This window comes from Homo sapiens, chromosome 12 (assembly GCF_000001405.40).
Source record: "Homo sapiens chromosome 12, GRCh38.p14 Primary Assembly".
Classification (NCBI taxonomy): Eukaryota; Metazoa; Chordata; class Mammalia; order Primates; family Hominidae; genus Homo; species Homo sapiens.
The window spans coordinates 88,163,656-88,178,221 of NC_000012.12; the positions used below are offsets into that span (position 1 = coordinate 88,163,656).

The following is a 14,566-nucleotide window of genomic DNA, read 5'->3' on the forward strand; positions in this document are numbered from 1 at the left end:
ATCTACTTTGTCTTCACATTGCCTTCTTTTCCAGTGTATCTCTTTCTTCTCTTTTTATGAGGACCCCAGTCGTTGGATTTAGGGCCCACCCTAACCCAGTGTGACCTCATCTTAACTAATATTGGCAGAAACTATTTTCAAATAACACCACATTCTGAAGTTAGGGTAGACATGAATTTTTTAGAAATATGATTCAACCCACTACACCGACCATGGGTATTTCCTCACATATATGTGCTGATTTGAACTCATCAAAATCAGGCCAGGTGTGGTGGCTCACGCCTGTAATCCCAGCACTTTGAGAGGCTGAGGTGATCACTTGAGGTCAGGAGTTTGAGACCAGCCTGGCCAACATGGGGAAACCTCATCTCTACTAAAAATAGAAAAATTAGCCAGCGTGGTGGTGCACGACTGATCCCACCTACTCGGGAGGCTGAGGCACAAGAATCGTTTGAACCTGGGAGGCAGAGGTTGCAGTGAGCCAAGACTGTGCCATGGCATTCCAGCCTGGGTGACAAAGCAAGACTTTGTCTCAAAAAAAAAAAAAAAAAAAAAAGAACTCATCAATATTGAAAACTGGAGAGAGACCCTCTACAGATGTCTCAGGTTCTCTTTCTCAGCAGCTTTCTTCTGTCTGGATTCTTCCTCACTAATTCTAGCCCCCGCACTCCTAGGGCTCCCAACTTCATACTCTCAATTCAGTATACCACTGGGCTCAGCCTGGGTTCCCTCTTGCTGTTTTACTGACTAAAAACTCTATCCAGGTACTAAACTCTTTCCAGAAAAAGCTCCCCTTATTTGTTTTTCTTCTCTCAGGTATTACAGTCCTTTTTCACCTTATGCTCAGTATGTTTAAAAAAAAATTATACCTCTTATACAGTTTTTTAGTTGTTTAAGGCTAGAAAGCAGAAGATATAGTGAATTTTAAGTCTGCATATCATATTTATCTACTTTAACATTTAGCCTTTTTTCATTTCACCTGACTTGGCTAAAATTTAAAATGAAATTTATACTATTTCCCTGTTCAATTTTAAGTTATTGCCATTACATGCAAGAACTTTTATTTTTAACAAAAGGCCAACATGTTATTCACATTATGTTACATGATCGTGCATTGCTGGCGCTGGGTAGAATAAATTTTATTCAGATAATTTTTAAACCCAAAACTGTGTGATATTTTCACATAACTATCCTCCCTAGCATTTTTTTTTCTTTAAAGAATAATTACTTGTTAATATCCTGGATTTTTATCTCTGAGTCTAGCCGTGCTAAAATGAACTTGTGCAGATATTACAGTATTGGAAATAGAGAAGATTGAATTGTTTATATAAGACTTCGGATTTCCTTCTTAGTTTCATTGGTTTTCTGTTATTCCTTTTAGAGAATTTGAATCAACTATTTTCTATTTCCCTATCTACAGTCTAAAAATATAGTTTATAGGTGTGAATTTATGTATGTGTTAGTAGGTATGAATATGGTGCTTATAGCATATAAATATTTTCCAAATAAAGCATTTCAACATTGTGTATATATGTTTGTGTATGTGTGTATAAATTCTATTACCCTCTGAAGTTGGATTTAATATAATTTGATTTATTTTGACATTAACTCTTTCTTTAAATCAGCTATCCTAAATAAACTGTAATTTTTAAAACTAAATTCCGAATAGTGAATTATAGGCAAAAAGATAACTTTTTATTCAGTTCTGCTGGTTATTTTGAGAATTCAAGTTCAGACTCAAGATTTATTATTTTATCTGAAAAATAATATGTAAGTTGTGAGATTCCGTATGAAAATTTTGAAATGATATTATTTGTTCAAATAGTATTTATTTTTATCAAATATTTGATATGTTTTCAGAAAATCAAGTCAAATAAGTGGCAGTAGTTGATTTTCCTTGGCTTACTCATCTTAAAATGAGAAAATGGGTCTTTTAAGTACTATATATTATAACCAATATAATTTAGAACACAGACTAAACTAATGAAATGTATATATGTTGTGGCCTGGGAAAAGATAAACTATGATATAAGCTTATATTAGTATTTACTAAGAGAGAAAGTAGAACACAAATTCTTACACAGGCCTACACAGTTACTACTTTGTACTAGAAATTTGGTTTTTAGCTTCCTAGGAGTCAAAGAAAAGAGGGAAGGAAGCTAGGTGATATGGTTTTCTCTCTCCATGACAGAAGAAAAATATACGAATTTTTTCCAGGAAGCATAATTTTTAATTAGCATTTAGCTCTAAAAGAAATGTCTCATGTAGGAAAGCATTGGTGAGTGTTTTCAAAAGTGATTCATACAACACATACAACCATAAATCTTATACAACTTTTTGTTACTACTTTTAATCAAAAGGTTTAATGGAACACTTTTGCAGTGTTGTAATATTATAGGATGCATGTCTGAATTATTCTAATAATAAACAGAAATGGATGACCTGCTTGCCTTTCAAACAGTCCTTCATAAATATCACTTCTCTGAAGTAGATGTTTCATAAAGTTTTGATAGTTTGAACTCTAGCAAGAGTCTGAGGTACACATAACATTTGTCTGTGTCTTCTGTTTAATAAGATGATATATAAAATGTTTATTGTTTAGTGTTTTACTTATGTAAATAATTCTGTACTTTAAAAGTTTTATTTGTAATCTTTTTTTTAATCCTTTATACAGGTTTGATAACCCAGCTGCTGTAAGCCCAACTCCTACAAGGCAACTAACTTTTAACTACCTCCTTCCTGTGAATGCTTGGTTGTTATTAAATCCTTCAGAGCTCTGCTGTGATTGGACCATGGGAACAATACCACTTATAGAGTCATTACTAGATATTCGAAATCTGGCCACATTTACTTTCTTTTGTTTTCTGGGGATGTTGGGAGTATTCAGTATCAGATACTCTGGTGATTCCTCCAAGACTGTTTTAATGGTAAGAAACTTTTCTTAACTTCCAAATGATGTTAACATTCAGTTGAATAAGTAAGAAACTACCTTTAATTCAGCAAAAGCATCTTTTTAGAAGCACTCCTTTCTTTGTTCAACGGCATCCCAATTTATAAACGTATTTGAGTTTATCCCAAAATTCTCAGTTAATTTGCAGGCATAATTTGACATATGTTCAGCACATAAAATATTTGTTACCTTTATCCAACTAGATTATACACTTTTTGAAGAAATTGATTATATTGTATATTATTTGTTTTCTTGGCACAGAGAAGAACATCATATAAGATATACAACTAGAAATATAGAGCTTTTCAGTTCTCATGAGCAAGGTGGTTTTTATTACTCCCTTAGATAGCTTTCACTATGTTCGGAGAACTCTGATTATTTGAACAGTTTTTTTTTTTTTTTTTTGGTGGTGGTTTTTCTGTACTGTTTTTCTTCTTATTTTCTTACCCTGTGTCACTTCATACTCATAAGAGTTATGTTTTCTCTCCCTTTTAATTATTGAAGACAGGCTGGGTGCGTTGGTTCTTGCCTGTAATCCCAGCACTTTGAGAGGCCAAGGCAGGTGGATCATTTGAGGCCAGGAGTTTGAGACCAGCCTGGTCAACCTGGTGAAACTCTCGTCTCTACTAAAAATACAAAAATTAGCTGGGTAGCTGGGTGTGGTAGTGGGTGCCTGTAATCCCAGCCACTCAGGAGGCGGAGGCACAAGAATCACTTGAACCAGGGAGGTGGAATTTGCAGTGAGCTGAGATTGCGCCACTGCACTCTAGTCTGGGCGACAGAGCAATACTCTTTCTCAAAAAAACAAAAATAAAAATAAAAGTTTATTGAAGACAATAGTACATTTTCTCAGGCATTTATTATATGTCAGAAAGTATGTTTAATGAATTGCAGATACATAATTTTTTGCTGTAGCTGCTAGATTGATTTATTCATTCAATAAAAACTTAGACTTTACCCTTTGTACAGTGCAGCATTTTAGGTGCTGAGGTTATGATAGTAAATACACAGTTCACGTTTCCAGAGAACTTACACAGTTCACGTTTCCAGAGAACTTACATTCTAGAGAAATTTGGATGTCTGAGATACAGAGTAGATTTAAAGATTGTGTTGTCTATTATCCTTGAACATGTTGAGTTTGCATTACTGTTGAAACATCCTGTTGGACATTTTGAACAGCACTTTATGTCTGGAGTTCATAGAAGATAGTTAAGTTACACATAGAAATCTTATCCATTAACATAGAGGTGGTAATTGAAACCAGGATGTAGATAAGGTGAAATGTAGATGAGGTTATAGAGCAGCCTTTCTCAACTGGGGTTTTGTCAATTCTGTCAAAGATGGTAGCTGTTAACATTCTAGATGCACAGAAGTTCACTCATACTCATAATGGAAGCCTTAGGGTATTTGGTCTTAATTCTCCCCAGAAAACAGTTGAGTGGGCTAAATACAGTGAAAAGAGAAGATACCTACTACTAGGTCTTGAGAAACTCCTATATTTAGATGTTGAAGAGAAGGATCCTGAATAGAAGACATATCGAATGAAGAGAAAAGTAGGAAAGTGTATTACAGACCAAATGGTTAACACTAACAGATGCTCTTGAGGGGGAAAGTGAGATCTAGAATCTGTTGGATTGGACTTCTTTTAGTCTGTAGGTACTTAAATGAAATTTGTTTATGTGCAGTGAGTGATTTGATGAGGAAGTGAAGAGAGCTAGTATAGACCTGTAGGAATAATTTAACTTTGACTGTTTCAAAGGATGGGATAAACTTGATTAATTCCTCCCTAAGGGAAGACTATGCTGGTCAGGCAATGGTTTCAAGTATAACAAACTGCTTATCTTATGTAGGGCCTGGGGAAGCATTGAGATCTGGCATTGGTAGACCTTCAGAGGTAGGAGGGAGCAATGTCAGGGAGAGACTGTTGATTGGTTGGCATATAGAAGCATTTTTATTGGCGTACTCAGCTACTCAGCTGACTTTTTTGAATGCGGATATCCCTGATGGGTTGGCTTGCAGGAACATATTTATTAAGCTGAAATGTTGATTGGTTAAGTGGTAGACTTAAGTTGATTAGTTAAGTGGGCTACTTGATACTATGGCAACAAAATCTTTTCCTAAGATCATGAGAACTTGTTTTGTACCTGAGGTATGTAACGAATAGGGAAGGTAGCTTAAAAAATGTATTGTTAAAGATGTTTAAGGCTGGAGAGACAAGAGCATGTTTAAATATAGATAGGAAGAATACAGTTGATTAGAAAGTGGTTAATAAATTAGAGAAGGGATAATTGTTAGTGAAGTTTATGAGGAGCAGGAGATAGGGAGCACAGGTTTGGCCTGAGATAGAAGAGACACCCCTTATGTTACAAGAAGAAATGAATGTGGATGTTGGTAGGTTTAGTAGCAGGAAATTAAAGAAATTCTTGTTTTATGGCTTCAGCTTTCATTGTAAATTAGGAAATGTAGTTGCCTGCTAAAACTGACATGGGTCAAAAATTTGAGAAAAGTAGTGAAGATTCAAAGCAGTCAAGAAGAGTGGAAGGAACTTTCCAGAGAAACCTAGAAATCCCAAACAGTCTTAAGGATAAATTTGAACTTGGTGCTCATGCTTTTATGACAGTATTAATCTGTTCAGCTTTGGGACTTTCTCTAGCAGTGCGTTGCCACTCTGGTAAATACAGACAAAAGAAATAAACGGTAGAATACATCTAAAGCTGGAGTTTTCCTAAAAGAAAGGTTAAAAAAAAAGGAGAGGTAGGGGAATTAAGGTTTCAGCAAATAAAATAATGGTGTATGTAATGTAAGCTGAATTTTAAATGTATATAAAAATGGAACAGCTGTGGCCTTAAGCATAACTCTATTTTCAGTATAGTCCTAATAAAGGTGCTATTTTTTTTATGGTGATGTTTTCTGAAGATCTCTGGAAGGGATAAGTAGAACAAAGGAGCACCTACCAGATACCATGTTAAGCACTTATTAGATAAGATGTCATATATATGTCAACAGCATAATGTAAGTTGTTATTAATCCCCATTTTATTTGTAAAGAACTAACTGGGTTCAATCGCTCATGCCTGTAATCCCAGTGCCTTGGGAGGCAGAAATGGGAAGATCACTGGAGGCCAGGAGTTTGGGACAAACCTGGGCAAGACAGTGAGATCCCACCTCTAAAAAAAATTTTTAAATTAGCCAGGCATGGTAGTGCATACCTGTAGTCCTAGGTGTTTGGGAGGCTGAGGCAGGAGGATTGCTTGAGCCCAAGAGTTCAAGAATGCAGTAGACTATGATCATGCCACTATACTCTATCCTGGATGACAGACAAGACCCTGTCAGAAAAAAAAAAAAAGGAAGAAGAAAAAAAGAAAGAAAGACTCTGGAGGTGACTGAGTGGTTTGCCGTATGTAGGAAATGAGAAGTAAAGCAGATTTGTCTCGAACTCTTTGCTCTTTCTACTAATATCCTAACATTTAAGGACAGTTTATGCTACTGGAAGAAGGAAATTACAAGAGAGTGATAGTTAACTAGGTTGGCATACATTATTAGAGAGCATATTAGGACCTGTGAATAAGTTAATCATTAGAGACATTTCTTATCCCAGAACCTATAGATTTTTCCTGAGAGATTTTTTTTGTTTTGTATAGTTTATGCATCAGTCTACAATACACTTTTGAGTGAATTTAACACTTAATTCCCTCAAGTGAAATTGCCTTGGGGCGGCCATGAATTAATAGGTATAATTTTTTTTTCAATGAACTACATACATATTCAGGAACTTTTCTTTATCTGTTTCACATTTTTTGCTGATTATTTTTGTCAAGCATCTCTGGGAAATGGAAAGTGAATTCTATGCACTCTTAGTTATTCTTACCTTTTTGATTTAAAAAAACTGAAGTGTCAGACCTATAAATTGGTATGATGGTGACCAGTTTGATGGTAGTGATTTTCCTCAGATTCAGTGTTGCCTTATTACAAATCATTAATGTGTGAACATTTGTGGAGAGTATTCTTTTCAATGTATACACCTCTATATTTCACAAATTAAGTCAAATAGAAAAAAAGGACATTCTTTCACCTTAGCCCATTAGAAGAGTCTCAAACTTGTGAAGCTAAAGGTTTAACTTGTTTATTCAATTAAGTACTGTAAAACAAATCGGGGTAACAAAATATGGAAGCAGATGTCCATAGAAACAGATTTCCTAATAACGACCAAACTTATTTCCTTCACAAGCTATTTATGTGCTAGTTTTTTATGGGTGTATAATGTGGAAACCACATGTCATCCCATTTTCAAAATGGTAAGAAATCTAAACATTTTTATGATGTTTCATTTCAATGTTCAGTGTTATATTAATAATTTTAGAAATTCTTGTAGAATGAAAGACTGTTGATTTAAAGGGGGGCAGTTTTATTTTTATGCATACACTAAGCTTCTAGTTAAATACATTTAACCTTTCAGGATGTTATGTGAAGTAATGCTAAGGTACAGTAGTCTGCTATCTTGTCTGAACGACACCTGATTTCATTCCCTCAGTTTCCAATATCATGTGGTTTCTTAAAGTAGTAAAGTTGTAAAAACTGACATGTTTAGCTTTTTTTTAATCAGCATTTGTGGTTTTGTTTTGTTGAAAAACCTATTAGCATATTTCATTATCATCTTATTTTTACCACACGCACATAAGTTAGATGTGTAAAATTTTTATTTATTTAATTTGTATTCCTCCTAACTGAAGTTTTATGCCTTTTGACCAACCTCTCCCCAACCTTCTCCCTCCAACCCTGGTGACCACCATGTACTGTACTTCTGTGAGTTCAACTTTTACAAATTCTACATACAAGTGAGATCATGCGTTGTTTGTCTTTCTGTGGCTGGCTTATTTCTCTTAACATGGTGTCCTCCGGGTTTATCCATGTCAGAAATGACAGGATTTCCTTCTGTTTTAAGGCTAAATAGTATTCTAAAGTGTATATGTACCACATTTTTTTCATCCAGTAATCTGTTGATGGATACTTAGGTTGTTCCCATATCTTGGCTATTGTAAATTGAATAATGCTGCAATGAACAGGGGAGGTCAGATCTCTCTTCAACATACTGACTTCATTTCCTTTGGATCTATACCCAGTAGTGAGGATGCTGGGTCACATGGTAGTTCTATTTTTAATTTTTTGAGAAGCCTTCCTACTGTTTGCTTAATGGCAATGCTAATTTACATCCCACCAACAGTGTGCAAGTGTTTCCTTTACGTTCTTGCCAACATTTGTTATCTTTTGACTTTTTGATAATAGCCATTCTTACAGGTGTGCGATGACATCTCATTGTGGTTTTAATTTTCACTTCCTTAATGATAGTGATGTTGAACATTTATATACTTGATGGCCATTGGCATGTTGTCTTCTGAGGAATATCTATTTAGCTACTTTGCCCATTTTTTAAATTGGGTTGTTTTCTTATGATTGTTTGAGTGTGTTATTTTAGATAGAATTTCAAAAAGTACTTCCACTATTTAACTGGATGAACCTTTATTGTTTAATTTTTGCTTAAAGATGTGAATATTTACATTTATTAAAGTTTTTATATTTTACTATGCAAGCATATTCTTTACAGAAAACCAGTGAGATATAGCTAATTATGCTTCTCAAATTTAAAATGCTGTAATGGTTTAGATTTTAATTTCAAGGAGTAATCACTCCCAAACACACCTAGAAATCTTGTTTTCAAAGTTCATAGATATCCTCTAATTTTAACTTTTAGAATTCAAGATTTCCATTTCACCTTGCTTACGTACATCCTGATGTTTGTTAATGTCTAAGTTGCCTTCTTTATGTTTAAATTAATATTCTTCACAGTATTATTAAAAATAGTTTAGCAGTACACTATCCAGGTTAAATGATAAAATATTTGGATTCAAGTATCAGATGCCCATATATTTCTTAATTTATTATAAATTATTTTAAATTTATTATAAATTATTAAATCTTCTTTTTTTTTTTGTAGGCGCTTTGTTTAATGGCATTACCATTTATTCCTGCATCGAACCTTTTTTTTCCAGTTGGATTTGTTGTTGCCGAGCGAGTATTATATGTTCCCAGCATGGGGTTCTGTATTTTGGTAGCCCATGGATGGCAGAAAATATCAACAAAAAGGTGAATTTAAATGTCAGTTCATGTAATGCTTACTATGGAATTAAGTGTGACACATTTTAAAATTTAAATATTTAGTTCAGTTTTCTAAGTCATGCTTTTGTATCTTTTGGTTTTTCATCTCCATAGTCTCCTCATTTGTCTTGTAAGTCAAGTTAGGAAAGCTCCATGGCACCTACTTATTCTGTGTTCTTCCCTATATTTATGTAATTTGATTTTACAGCCTGAGACAGAACAAACTTTGAGTCAGATCCAAATGAAAACAAGGATGTTACTGAGAATAAAGTCTCAAATGACCATTGCCACTTCCATATTCAGTGAACTAAGATAATAGTCATCCTACTTAAGTGAGTCATATTGAGTTAATATATATAAAATGCATATAGTAAGCAATCTGTAATTTCTTGCTATCATCACTATCTTCATTATAATCTTTGTATCCTAGTTGCCTCAAACTAACAGTTAAGGAACAGCATAGTCACACTGTATATATGCTTAGGAACTATAATTGTTATAGGTATTATCTCATTGTATACTTATGCTGTGGCACTAAAATTATCAAATCAAGCAAATTGTTAAAGGTCAAGTAATACTAATGTAATAATATTGAGTTTGCAACTTGAAAAAGAAATAGTCACTTCTTTCACTTTCCTATTTTCCAGTCATCCCTCACCCCACAGAATTCTGACTTCTCTCCACTTCACCCTTAAGCATATAACAAAGTGCCTCCTAGTAGCTAAACTAAGTCAACTCTTTTAATTTAAAGTTTATTTCCCTAGTGTCTGTAAAAAGTATTTGTCCTGATTAATTCTTCTGGCTGCACCTGCTCTTTGAATATTTACATTTTTCAAAGTCTTATGGCCACTTTTTTCACACCGCATGTGTTCCACAGATAATCTCATCCCTGTCTGCAATATTTAACTGCCATCTACCAAACCTGTTCTCTTAGCTTTTACCCATATATCCATTTATAATCACTACCCATTTTTGAATGCCTGCCATGTACCAAGGGCCATGATAGACACTTTAGATTTCTTTTCTCATTTAATCTTGACACTTCTTAAGTCTGCTTTGCAGATGTGAACATTGAAGCCATATAGGTTATCCAAGATCACACAGCTAGTAAATAACAGTCTTGTTTCAGATTCACATCTGACTGCTTCCAATGACCATGTTCTTTCACATCCATACTTGTGTGTTCTAGTTAAGTGGATCTATCAAAATGAAATAAATTAAACCATGTTACAGGAACAAAAACACAGACTCAGAGACTATTAATACTAAACAAGATCATAAAGATTATAGGTGAAGAATTGAGCCCTCAAATAATTAACCTAAAGTTGTATAAGTAATTTGCCTCTGTTTAATGAAGAGTCACTTTTACTATGCCTGTTAATAGACAATTCTAGCTTTACAATAGAGAAATAAACCAAAAATATCATGATAGTCTTGGTATAAATTGTAAGTAAAACATTTTCAAATGTGATCAGTGATAAGGTTGACCCCTTTCTAAACTCAATTAAGAATACTCAGTTGTAGAAAATGGCACAAAGGACTGTAAGTGTAAAAAGTCACGTTTAAAAATTGGTTTTTTCCATTTTTTATCATTTATTTTAAACAGAGCTTTTGAAATATAGCCAATATTAGCATATATAATGTAATTGACTGGAAGGTCATATTCACAGTATTTAATTTTTTTGGTGTTGTATCCTCTAAAGTTGGGTGTTCATTAGAATGAATTAGAATAAATTAACATATGATATTTTAGGAGCATTTAAGATACTTCTTACCTCTGTTCTAAAAGGTAAAATGCTTTTGGTGATGAAGACAATTTTTTTTGTTTTGCTTTTTTTCTCTTAAACAGTGTATTTAAAAAGCTATCCTGGATTTGTCTGTCTATGGTGATACTCACTCATTCCTTAAAAACATTCCACAGAAATTGGGATTGGGAGTCTGAATATACATTGTTTATGTCAGCCTTGAAGGTAAAGTGTTGTTCAGAATGACAGGAAAGTATGTCATCAGTGATTTCTTGGAACAATTTCTAAGCTGTTTTAACTTTGTTTTTAATTAGACATTTAACAGTCAATATTAAGTACTTTACTAAAAGATTAATGAAAATAATTTGTTGTTTAACATAATGCCATAACCAAATGCTCTGAATAATACTTAGCTATATGTCCAAAGCATATATGATAATTCCCTAAATGCTATACAGTTATTGGAAGCTCAAATGACACAATGTTTAAATCAGAATACTATATTTCATTGGTTCTAAAGGTGCTTATATTTTTCCTTTTTTATATCTCTGAAATCAAATAAGTCTTACAGTGAAAAGCATCTTAAATTAGTGGCCTTTTTTCTCTCTTAATGGTACTTAAAATAATGATGTTATAATCGATGGCATCAATTCAGTAAAATAAAATGTACAGCGAAAAAAAAAAGGCACCCAATGATGTGGAAGATAACCAGTGGTTACAATACTATCAGAAAGATAAGAATTGGCAGAAAGAAAGGATCAAGATTTCTATAGAATGGACATTATAAATCGGAAAAAGGTCTTTTAAAAAACAAAAATTTGTTTTCTTTAAAGGTTATCCGCAAAGATTTTTTCAAGCTCTCCCTTACCAGTACCCCTCTTCAGATATCTGAATTTTTACTTCCTTTGGACTGTTTCTTAACTCTTCATTACTTAGCTTTATTGGATTGCTGCTTCATTCCAGTGGTCTGTGTGATTTCTTGGTTCCCCATCTCCCTAAGATCAGATGAGTCTCTTCTTATACAACTCAGTAGCTCTACTCTCTCTCCCAACTCAGAAGTCTGCCAACAAGTGAGACCTCATTACCATGCTTATTAATCCATACTCCTAGGATACCAGTGGAGCCCCATAATTTTCCAGAATTTTGCTTATACTCACTCCCAGGACAGTGGTTGGAACCTATAGCCACAACGACTGCAATTAGTTCCTTGGCTAGGTGTCATCTATCTGCAAGAACACTACGGCAATCTGCGAACTCTGAAAGCACAGATTGACTCAGAGCTTTAATCTCAGGTTTTCCATTACCATAATGGACTACATAAATAATTTTAAATATGTCAAGTCTAAAAATAAGTCATCAGTGCAACATTTAAACATATTCTCATGTTCCAGTGCTTTTGCTCCTAAAAATACAAATGGCAGAGCAGAAGTTTTGAAACACCACTGTGCTTTCATCAAATAACATTTTCAGTAAAATGTTAATATATAACGTGAATGAAATAAGACACTGCTGTGGTTTTAGTATGTTGGTGTTCAGGTTCAGGGAGAGTAAATTTGGTGAAGCAGTCTTTATTTGACTCCTGTGTCATCCCCAGAGACATTTCCATAGAACATTATTTTCTTAATAGTATACCAAACAAATATCTGTATGAACTGGAGTCATTTTTTTTTAATTGTAACTTTTTCTATCTGTGCTTGTATTTAAGGTAAATAAAAATAATGCCAAACTTTGGAATAATGTGGGTCATGCTCTGGAAAATGAAAAGAACTTTGAGAGAGCTTTGAAATACTTCTTACAGGCTACCCATGTTCAGCCAGGTAAGCATTATTAACTAATAAAATCATGAATTTTATTTTTTAAAAAGTTTTGATTATCCTTGGGGGAAATAAGGTAGTTTATTTACTAGCTTTATTCTGAGTGACTTGAATACTAGAGTTCAGTGCTTATTTTGAACTGGATTACATATAACAGCCACTTAATATCAGACTCTGTTACCAGGCTGGTGGCTCACACCTGTATTCCCAGCACTTTGGGAGGCTGACACAGGAGGGTCACACCAGGAGTTCATGACCAGCCTAGGCAACAAAGCAAGATCCTGTCTTTACAAAATAAAAATTAAAAAATTAGCCAGGCATGGTGGTGTGGGCATGTAAACTCGGCTACTTGGGAGGCTCAGGTGGGAGGATTCCTTGAGCCCAGGAGTTCAAGGCTGCAGTGAGCTATGATCACATGATTATACCACTGTACTCCAGCCTGGGTGACAGAGTGAGACTGTGTCTCAAAAACAAACAAAAACATTTATGGATTTTTTCTTAACATAGAGTTGTTGTGTGGCATGGATATGGATAAGCAGTTTTGGTGGAATGATGGGTGCAAAAGCCTGATAGTAGTGAGCTTAAGAGAATGGGGAAAGAATACTTGGAGACAATTCGTATAGAAAACTCTTTTGAAGGGTGTTGATAAGAAATGGTGGCAGTGCTGGGTATGTGGTCAAGAAAGGATGGTAAGATAAGAGGGTTTTGGCTTTTTTAAACCAGTTTGGGCCAGACACAGTAGCTCAAGTCTGTAATCCCAGCACTTTGGGAGGCCAAGGTGGGCAGATCACTTGAGGTCAGGAGTTTGAGACCAGCCTGGGCAACATGGTGAAACCCCATCTCTACTAAAAATACAAAAATTAGCCAGGTATTGTGGTGGGCGCCTGTAATTCCAGCTACTTAGGTGGCTGAGGCACAAGAATCGCTGGAACCTGGGAGGCAGAGGTTGCAGTGAGCCAAGATCGCACCACTGCACTCCAGCCTGGGTGACAGAGTGATATACTCTGTCTCAAAAAAAAAAAATAGTTACATGTTTTTCTGTTGCAACTTTTTAGCTATAATAGTGATGGCATAGACATGGAAAATTCTGTTAAATAGGATTAAAGTTTTTTCAGTTGTGTATTACTCATCAAGAAAGGGTTTAAGGAGTGAATAAATGATGAGCCACAGAATCTAAGCTGGTTAAGAAGGGATGTGAGAGAGGATGAGGGATGGAGGAAAGGTAACAAGATCAGTGGATCTGAGGAATTGTTGGTTTCTGAGTAGGATGTAGCTAGAGCAGCAGTATTTTTCGACAGGAGTGCTATTGGCGTTTTGAGTGCAGAACTGTATTACAGGATATGTACTAGACATGGCCCCCCATCCACCAAATGCCATCATTATTTTCCATTCAGAGTGATGACCAAAAAGAAACCCCTGCACATTACTAAATATCCTTGAAGGGGTGCAGAGTGTCAGACACTGTTGTTTTTTTCTAGTAAGTACAACTATGACCACTGCACTAACTGGCTAAGGTAGAAAGGAGGTGAAAATCATTTGGAAAAAAGGTCATCAAGACCACAGTATTCAAAGATTAATATCTATATGGATTATGAAATCACTAAATCATTAAGAATTTTGACAAAAGTAATGTTAGAGAAAGCAACAGGGAGCCAGGGTCTGTGATCCAGGAATCAAAGACTACAACACTGATAAGAATAGCAGATAATAGAGTTAAATTACAATCAGACATGAGTATGGTAAAAAGGAGAGAGAATTGTCCAAAAATGGCAACATGGATCAAGGAAGAAGATACCTGTTCTTCCCCCAGGCCCAGTGTGGCAAAGGATAGAAAAGAACACAGTCACCACTTGAAAGGGCTAAAGGTAACCATGTCTCCAAAACAAAGCTAAGTTTCAATTAGAG

The 14,566-nt window shown here is 34.8% G+C and overlaps 1 protein-coding gene across 6 annotated transcripts in view; it reads left to right on the forward strand.

The window, feature by feature from the left end:
- Positions 1-14,566, forward strand: part of TMTC3 (transmembrane O-mannosyltransferase targeting cadherins 3) — a 57,581-nt gene that overhangs the window by 21,349 nt on the left and 21,666 nt on the right. For 5 of the 6 annotated variants that reach the window (NM_181783.4, NM_001366579.1, NM_001366574.1 and 2 more), the window contains 4 exons: positions 2,675-2,927; positions 8,942-9,090; positions 10,952-11,072; positions 12,553-12,664. In NM_181783.4, the coding sequence (NP_861448.2) occupies positions 2,675-2,927; positions 8,942-9,090; positions 10,952-11,072; positions 12,553-12,664 (635 nt within the window). Of the gene's footprint in view, positions 1-2,674; positions 2,928-8,941; positions 9,091-9,310; positions 9,435-10,951; positions 11,073-12,552; positions 12,665-14,566 lie in introns of all 6 variants that reach the window. The other variant, NR_159381.1, reaches the window with a different exon arrangement.